Genomic DNA, 8891 nt, shown 5'->3' with positions numbered 1-8891 from the left:
AGCCGGACCCCCGGCACCATCAGTAGACAAGAGAAACAGCCGGACCCCGGCACCATCAGCAGACCCGGCGTTTCAGCTTTGGCTCTTCCAGCAGCGCAGATGTGCTGACGGGTGACTGCATGAATACGAAGAGCGCAGGAGATTGTTAAATGTGAAATCCCATATTTGCAGAGGTCTAGAGAAATCACCTCTTACCAACTGTTTACTTCGTATTTGTCAGTAAACAAGTATAAGAAACAACAATTACGTCTTTACCCACCTCATCTCTAACGTCTTTTGTTTTCCAATGTCTGGTCTTTGTCTTCCGAAAAAGTCCGTACTTAGAATTTTAGAGTTGGAGGGAAACTAGAGCTGGGGATCCTTGGTGCTTTCTTAAAGGACCTGAAACAAAGTTTCCCACTCTCTTCACAGGACACCAATAGTTTTCACTCTGCTGCACCCTCCCAGCAGGGCCTGAAGGAGAAGCTACAGAGAACTGAAGAAAAGGAAAGTATGCTTCATCTGCCCCAGACCTTCACACGTAGACTTATACATTGAATTTCCTGTCAGATTGTATTTAAAAATTAGGCTGGAGGGACATCTCCAGCACAAAACCCACCTTCTCACATCCAAATGATTGGCATTCCCTTTGCGGACATGATTGTCTAAATTTAATCTCCTAGGTGAATGCCATCTCCTAGGTAAATGTGCACATGATGAGGGCGCCGTGAATGCCAGTGCAGTGCAATGAGATTTCATGGCTGCTGTGATATGTGAGTGTTAAGTGTCTACACTTAATCACTACAGACGTCCCAGTGTAAATTAAGACATATTTTCTATTATGTGTGATATGGTTTTGCTGTGTCCCCACCCGAATCTCATCTTGAATTGTAGTTCCCATAATCCCCATGTGTTGTGGGAGGGAGAAGGTGGGGGGGGGATAATTTAATCATGGGAATGGTGACCCTCATGCTGTTCTCATGATAGTGAGTGAGTTCTCACAAGATCTGATGGTTTTATAAGGGGCTTTCTCCCATTTTGCTCAGTGCTTTGGCCCTTCTCCTTGCTGCTGCCATGTGAAGAAGGATGTGTTTGCTTCTCCTTCTGCCGTGATTGTTAAGTTTCCTGAGGCTTCCCCAGCCATGCTGCACTGTGAGTCAATTACACCTCTTTTATTTATAAATTACCCAGTCTTAGATATATCCTTATAGCAGCATGAGAATGGACTAATACGATGTGCAGTGATCGGATAGACATCTCTCCACAGGGTGGTTTCTTGTCTTCCGAAAGAACAAATCTAGAAGAAAGCTCTGTGCAGTTCCTCAGGCTGAGGAAGGGCGAGGAAGAAGCAGCCGCTCATCGAGTGTGCAGTAAGAGCATCTGTGCCAGATGGTTTTTTGATCAGTCAATCAGCAACATTAATTGGGAAGCCCTGTGTGAGGAACTCACGCAGAATACTGCAGCTGCAGACACATTTTCTCTCTAGACTGTCAAGGGTCAGTCTACTGAACAGACCGATTTTGTTTTTTCCCAGACAAAAGGCTCCTAAGTGGCTTCAGTGATTCACTCCGCCCTTTTCACCTTGTGCAGAATGAGACGGCAGCTTGCATCACAGCGACGTTAACTCACACATCCTTCTCCCCTGACACTCCTGGGGTCTGTTCTTGAGGATCTGGGCCTTATCCAGACCGATCTCGCTCCCCACGGCTTTACCTTTGTCTTTCCAAACATAAAAACAAAAATGTAGCCAGGCAGTTGCTTCTAGCAGTTGGTCTGGCCTGAGTGTAGCAAACTTCTCCAAGCGAATGTTGACTATCCAACGGCTCACCAGGGCCTCTGCCTGGATGCTTTTTCTTACATGGAACCCTGTGCAGTGGTCACGGGTCACAGTGTCACTGCTGGAGGATGAACAGCCCCCGAGGTGACTGTTTGCTGTTGCTTCACCACCAGCAATGTGTGTAGGCACCAGCTCATTCACACCTCACTCACGGAACCCTCAGGCCCCTCACGCCCTAAGATTTTACCTTTTCCACGGCTTTCTTGACAACAGAACCAGATAGAGAGAGGCTGAGGTGTCCAGTTCCCTAACGATGATGACTTAGATTTTACATACACCCCAAAAACAAAAGGCCAAAGACCTGGCAGAGGACATCCCAAATGTGCAAGTTCCCACATGTTCCCAGCAGTTTGTATTATATAAAATACAATTGGAATAATGTCTCATTTTCTATTTTTGCTCCTGATAAAATATCAGCTTTAGTGGGTCCTGAGTGACCATACGTCTTCGGTCCTGGGATACACAATTTTCCATCTCTTATCGTCCCCCACGTGTTAGGGTGCACTTCACAGGCAAGGCCTCTTATTTCCCGTATGGAGACTGTTCCGCCAGGTCTGCTGTAGCTCGCTGGACAGGCAGCTCTTGGGGGTTATTCCTGGTGGCCTGGCTGAACAGGTGCAACCCGTAGATGTTGCAGTCAGCAAAGCTTCCAAGGCCCAAACCAGGAAGGCATCAGATTCCTCGCTATTGCTGAAAGGGATGCCTGCTTCTAGCACGAGAAATCCGAAGCATTGAAACTCACAGAGCCGGCGTCGGTGGCGGGGAGGATGTTGGAGCTGCAGTGGCGGCTCCTCCGCTGAGAAACACTGGATCTTAAACGCTCTTTCAGGGCCCATAGCCATGGTTACCTGGAAAGCCATGGGCATTCATGACACTATTGTACTCTGAATGTAAATGTGTGTTCGTAATACCCTAATGGATTCACTCAACGGTATGGTCTGCATGTTTGTGTTCCCCCAAATCCCAATACTAAAATCCTCACCCCATATCAATGGGCGAGGAGGTGGGGTCTTGGGGAGGTGATGGGGTCATGAGAGTGAAGCCCTGGTGAATGGGGTTAGCGCCCTTACAAAAGGGACCTCAGAGATCTTCTCCCCTCCACCACATAAAGACACAGTGAGAAGGCGCCATTTGCAACCTCGCAGAGGGGCCTCACAAGAACCCCATAATTCTGCTGTCCTGGGCTTGGACTTCCAGCCCCTAGAACTATGGGAAATGAATTTCTGATTTTTATAAACCACCCGGTTAATGGTAGCTTGTTATAGAAACCCGAATTCACCAAGACTGTTCGCTTTCACTGTCCTTCCTGTGATTTCAAAACAATAATATATAATACAAGTCTATGTATAAATAGATAGATGTATGTAGATATACATGTAGATATTCCACAAAATACATTGAAAGAACCCTTTAAATAAATATAAAATAAAACTTCCAAATCAGAAAGAAGCATTCTGCTTTAGTGTACTTGGCAGTGTATTTTCTTTCTTAGTGGAACATAAAATAACAGACTGTCTTTGAATCCACAGTGCTGCAGACTCAGTGAAGTTCGGCACTTAAAGGAGACCCTGAGTGATGGGACATGGCGCCGGCCACTCGATACGGGACTTAGAGGCCCCAGGAGGTGCTTCAGGCCACTGCTCCCAGGTACCGTCTCTCAGGAGAGCCTGAAACGGGTCCACAAGCCACATAAAACCTTCGCATTTGCTGGTCAGACACAGCGTCATGCCACGTTCTCAGTGACACTGTTCAAATGCCTCCTCCAACCCTCATTTAAATCGTATCCCATGATTTCATAAGGTGATCACCACGCTGAGCCTCATTTTCTCATCTATAAATTCAGGCAGCCATGCTGTCTTCATGCTGAGCTTCTGGGGTGATACTGACAGACAGCAGTGGCCTGACACATGGCTGGGACATGCCAGCACCTGCATGGTGTCGCACAGGTCACAGCAGGGACACACTGGCCCCCGCGTGGTGTCACACACGTCATAGCAGTGACACACCAGCCCCCGTGTGGGGTCGCACACCATGGCTGAGATACACACGTCACAGCAGGGACACGCCGGCCTCACATGGTGTCACACATCACGGCAGGGATACACACATGTCACAGCAGGGACACGCCGGCCCCACGTGGTGTCACACACATCACAGCAGGGACACGCCGGCCCCCACGTGGTGTCACACATGTCACAGCAGGGACACGCCGGCCCCACGTGGTGTCACACATGTCACAGCAGGGACACGCCGGCCCCACGTGGTGTCACACATGTCACAGCAGGGACGTGCCGGCCCCACATGGTGTCACACACATCACAGCAGGGACACGCCGGCCCCCACGTGGTGTCACACTTGTCACAGCAGGGACACGCCGGCCCCACGTGGTGTCACACATGTCACAGCAGGGACGTGCCAGCCCCACACATCACGGCAGGGATACACACATGTCAGAGCAGGGATGCGCCAGCCCCACATGGTGTCACACACATTGGGCTTCCCCAGGCCCACCTGCATGATTCCTGGGTTCTCCGAGGCAACTATGGGGCATACAGGCTTTGTGTAGTCTTTCCTGGTGTCCTTGTTTTTATTTTAATCAGAGTTCAGTCCAGTGGAAATAAGTAGGTATTTTCATAGGAACGTCTAGAATCTGTGAATGTCGAGCCTTTGGTCAAAGGATTTTGCTAAGCATCCTCCAATACCTGGTAAAAGATGGTCAGCACTGACAGGGTTCCCTTCAGAGGAGGATAAGCATCCTGGCCCACGAGGGAAAATGCTGAGTGGGTGCCGTGGTCAGTGTGGTCCCTGTGCAGCTGTCCTGGGCTCTCAGCACCATGCCAATCTTCACTGCCCATCGATTTGGATGGAGCCCGTCCCTCACTTTCTGAGCCTGTCAGCCTCTCCTCCACATCACTCCTGCTGGTGTCGCGCAGGAAAAGCAGCACGGGCCTCTCCCAGAGCCGAGCGCCACAGCAGCCAGCGGGGACAGCCTGGGCCTGAGTGTAAAGCTCTCTTCTCCCTCATCAGCAGGATCCCAGGGGTGTCCTCACTGAGCTTCCTGCTTCTGTACAGACTCCAGAGAAGCTCTCCTTGGCCTTTCTGGAAGCCCAACTACCCTGTCTCATCCCTCCTGTCCCCCAGCTGAGATCCTCCTGTACCCCATCCCTCCCTCCTGTCTGTCTCCATCCCATCCCTCCCATCCCATTTCCCTCCCTTCTGTCCCCATCCCTCCCTCCCGTCCCCAATCCCATTTCATCCCTCTGGTCCCTCATCGCATCCCTCCTGTCCCCGTGCCTCTCTCCTGTCCCCATCCCATCCCTCCCTCCTGTCTTGCAGCCAAACCCCTTGTGTCCCCCAGCGTCCTGCACAGGGGCGCCTGCCCTAGGCACCTCCTGCCACCTGGTGCTGCTGGGCACTGAACTGCCCTGTGGGCTGCGGCACACACCACAGGGGCCTCTTTCCGGGTTATCCCTCCTGACTCCAGGGGGACCTGCGAGTGATCCATGTTAGTGTTTTCATCCCGGACGCTCTGCAGCGCCTGGCAGGTTGCACGCCCTTGAGAACTGCGTGTCCGTGAACCAAGTGATGGGGCTGCCTACTTCACAGGGCCGGCTTCAGCACACAGTCAGCATCAGCCTCCACCTCTGCCTGTCGTTCTGTTCGGCTTCACGCCTCCCCGCTGAGGCCCCCTCGGCAGAGCCCTGGATCCTCGACTCCCTGGTTCCTGCGCCTCCCTGGCTCTTTAGTCTTCATGAGCCTCGCCTCACCCTAAAGCCCAGCCCGCTCACCTCCTGTTCCCTCCTCGCTCGGAACTAGCACTTCCTGACCTTCGCCGTCCTCATCAGCACCGCGTCCTCATCAGCACCGCGTCCTCATCAGCACCGCGTCCTCATCAGCACCGCATCAGCACCGCGTCCTCATCAGCACCGCGTCCTCATCAGCACCGCATCAGCACCGCGTCCTCATCGGCACCGCGTCCTCATCGGCACCGCGTCCTCATCGGCACCGCGTCCTCATCGGCACCGCGTCCTCATCGGCACCGCGTCCTCATCGGCACCCTGTCCTCATCGGCACCCTGTCCTCATCAGCACCCTGTCCTCATCAGCACCGCGTCCTCATCAGCACCCTGTCCTCATCAGCACCGCGTCCTCATCAGCACCGCGTCCTCATCAGCACCCTGTCCTCATCAGCACCCTGTCCTCATCAGCACCCTGTCCTCATCAGCACCGCGTCCTCATCAGCACCCTGTCCTCATCAGCACCGCGTCCTCATCAGCACCGTGTCCTCATCAGCACCGCGTCCTCATCAGCACCCTGTCCTCATCAGCACCCTGTCCTCATCAGCACCGCGTCCTCATCAGCACCCTGTCCTCATCAGCACCGCGTCCTCATCAGCACCGCGTCCTCATCAGCACCCTGTCCTCATCAGCACCCTGTCCTCATCAGCACCCTGTCCTCATCAGCACCGCGTCCTCATCAGCACCCTGTCCTCATCAGCACCGCGTCCTCATCAGCACCGCGTCCTCATCAGCACCGCGTCCTCATCAGCACCGCGTCCTCATCAGCACCCTGTCCTCATCAGCACCGCGTCATCAGCACCCTGTCCTCATCAGCACCCTGTCCTCATCAGCACCCTGTCCTCATCAGCACCGCGTCCTCATCAGCACCCTGTCCTCATCAGCACCGCGTCCTCATCAGCACCCTGTCCTCATCAGCACCGCGTCCTCATCGGCACCGCGTCCTCATCAGCACCCTGTCCTCATCAGCACCGCGTCCTCATCAGCACCGCGTCCTCATCAGCACCCTGTCCTCATCAGCACCGCGTCATCAGCACCCTGTCCTCATCAGCACCGCGTCATCAGCACCCTGTCCTCATCAGCACCGCGTCCTCATCAGCACCGCGTCCTCATCAGCACCGCATCAGCACCGCGTCCTCATCAGCACCCTGTCCTCATCAGCACCCTGTCCTCATCAGCACCGCATCAGCACCCTGTCCTCATCAGCACCCTGTCCTCATCAGCACCCTGTCCTCATCAGCACCGCGTCCTCATCAGCACCGCGTCCTCATCAGCACCCATCCTGCTTCCTCTGCCCCTACCACCTTGTGGAAACACTGATCTCCAGAGGGAGCTCCTCCCACCCTAAACCCATCGGCCTTCTTGGGCCTCGTGCTCCCCCGTCTCTCAGACGCCTGTGGCCCCGTGACCGCTCCCCTCTCCACTCCCCATCTCAGACGCCTGTGGCCCCGTGACCGCTCCCCTCTCCACTCCCCATCTCAGATGCCTGTGGCCCTGTGAGTGCTCCGCTCTCCACTCCCCATCTCAGATGCCTGTGGCCCCGTGACTGCTCCCCAAGACAACCTCCTCCTGACTCACTCTCCAACCTCCAGCATTTCCTTCCACGCCCCTTCCTCCCCACCTCAGGCCTCTGAGCAGAACGCCCTGACCCGACTTCTCTTCCCTGCAGGCCTGCGTCTCAATGGACTCAACGTGACGTCCACGCCCCAGCAAATTGCCAGCTGTCCATCTAGAGAGGTGCATCTCCACCTACATTAGCTTTGCCGCCGTGTCTAACATCAAGCTCCTCGCATTCCCCTCCAGCCCCTGAGAAAGCCCCAGCGGGCCAGGGCCTTCTACTTTTAGTGGAACCATCCTCTTCCTGGGACAGAAACTGCCAAGCCTCTTTCTCTTTCCCCCTTGTCATCTCTACCTAAGCAGCCATGGAGACCGTCAGCTCATTCTGGGACACAGCTCTGTCCCCTGGGTTCGACTTCCTCTGTGGTCTCCAGCGGCCTCTCTGCTGGTGACGTGCCCACCGCCCCAGGCCTCTGCCCTCTGGACTCAGCATCCTCAACACCTATCACCCCTGCACACCTCGCACAGGACACCTTCTCTCAGCAACACGCTTGTCCTGTGACACTCCTTGACATTTACACGATGTCTACACTCTGCAGGCTGGCAAGCCCCCCTGACAGGCGCAGCCTCCGTCCTGCTCTGGGACTCAGGCCATGGCCGGTATGCTTCCCTCCAGGCCGTGTCATGAACTGCCCGGGCCCCAGGGTCCCTCCTACAGTCCTGCAGTGATTGATGGCCAGAAATTCCATGAGAAGATGTTGAAATGCACCTGATGTTTCTCTCAACAGCACGACAGGCTCAATCCCTGTTGAATGAAACGTTTCCCAATCCTTGCCCGGGACCACCGAGAATCTAATAACTTAAAGGGGAAGAATGTGTTCTCAGTCCATCTCAGTCACGTCCAACACTCTAGTTCTCGAGACCTTTTAGAAACAGCAGAGTTGGAAATACCTGCCTGGAAGAAAGAGTGCCATATGTAAATGTTCTCATCCAAGAGCAGATCATTCCTTTGGAATAATCACTTTATTAAAACAGGACAGTAGGGGCCCTATTGCTTGCATTGAAACAATATTTTAGAGCAGTGAAAAAGAATTCAACTTTAATATGTCTTGAGATGTCAAATAAAGGTTTAGCTAATACCCAGAATTTTATTTCACTTTACACTAAAGAGAGTTCATGATTGGTTTTTAAAAATATTTTTGAACTGGACGCATTTCTGTAACCATATTAGAGTAAATTGGAAAGATGCTGGGAGAAAAAGAAGAGATAAGAGTGAAGCTCCTGGGGAAATGTGTGATTTTTATTCCAGGAAACCAGAATTCTAATCTGGGCTGTGTGGAGGCATCGCTGGCTGTGTTCGGTCTGGGTGCCGTGGGCGGGCTCTGGGATTGCCTGTGTCACCGGGGCCTGTGTGCACCCAGATGAAGAGAGGACACACAAAAAAACACCAAGAGAGCGAAAGGTTTCACTTTTGTAAATCATAAAATCCATCTGTTCTGCTAAAAGGCAGCTGAACATCTGCGCAGCCGTTTCATGACGGCCTCGTCTGGACAGTGTTTTCCAAACACCTTGAGTGGCAGAGCTTTGCCTGAAGGGCCAGCCACAGCTGAGGGGCAGGTGTTTAACAAACCGGCCGCTTCCGCCGGTGCACGTGAATAAAAGCCTCCCTTTCGTGTTTGGGTAAACAGTTTCCATTCCTTTGATTTTTTAATAGACTTTGAG

At 53.3% G+C, this 8891-nt stretch overlaps 4 annotated features.

Moving 5' to 3' along the window:
* Nucleotides 5229–5372: a silencer, noted in NCBI's record as "fragment chr6:169241587-169241730 (GRCh37/hg19 assembly coordinates)". NCBI's record gives its function as "represses an EF-1alpha promoter that drives an FKBP-Casp9 reporter gene in an ReSE screen in K562 erythroleukemia cells {active_cell/tissue: K562}" and the evidence as "EXISTENCE:reporter gene assay evidence [ECO:0000049][PMID:32094911]".
* Nucleotides 5335–5912: an enhancer, noted in NCBI's record as "H3K27ac-H3K4me1 hESC enhancer chr6:169241047-169241624 (GRCh37/hg19 assembly coordinates)". NCBI's record gives its function as "activates a minimal SCP1, AML or CMV promoter by ChIP-STARR-seq in primed H9 embryonic stem cells {active_cell/tissue: H9 hESC(primed)}" and the evidence as "EXISTENCE:reporter gene assay evidence [ECO:0000049][PMID:30033119]".
* Nucleotides 5913–6492: an enhancer, noted in NCBI's record as "OCT4-H3K27ac-H3K4me1 hESC enhancer chr6:169240467-169241046 (GRCh37/hg19 assembly coordinates)". NCBI's record gives its function as "activates a minimal SCP1, AML or CMV promoter by ChIP-STARR-seq in primed H9 embryonic stem cells {active_cell/tissue: H9 hESC(primed)}" and the evidence as "EXISTENCE:reporter gene assay evidence [ECO:0000049][PMID:30033119]".
* Nucleotides 6493–7071: an enhancer, noted in NCBI's record as "OCT4-H3K27ac-H3K4me1 hESC enhancer chr6:169239888-169240466 (GRCh37/hg19 assembly coordinates)". NCBI's record gives its function as "activates a minimal SCP1, AML or CMV promoter by ChIP-STARR-seq in primed H9 embryonic stem cells {active_cell/tissue: H9 hESC(primed)}" and the evidence as "EXISTENCE:reporter gene assay evidence [ECO:0000049][PMID:30033119]".

Source organism: Homo sapiens, chromosome 6, assembly GCF_000001405.40.
Source record: "Homo sapiens chromosome 6, GRCh38.p14 Primary Assembly".
Taxonomy (NCBI): domain Eukaryota; kingdom Metazoa; phylum Chordata; class Mammalia; order Primates; family Hominidae; genus Homo; species Homo sapiens.
The sequence above is the reverse complement of the archived record's forward strand: the minus strand, read 5'-3'. Positions and strand labels throughout refer to the sequence as shown.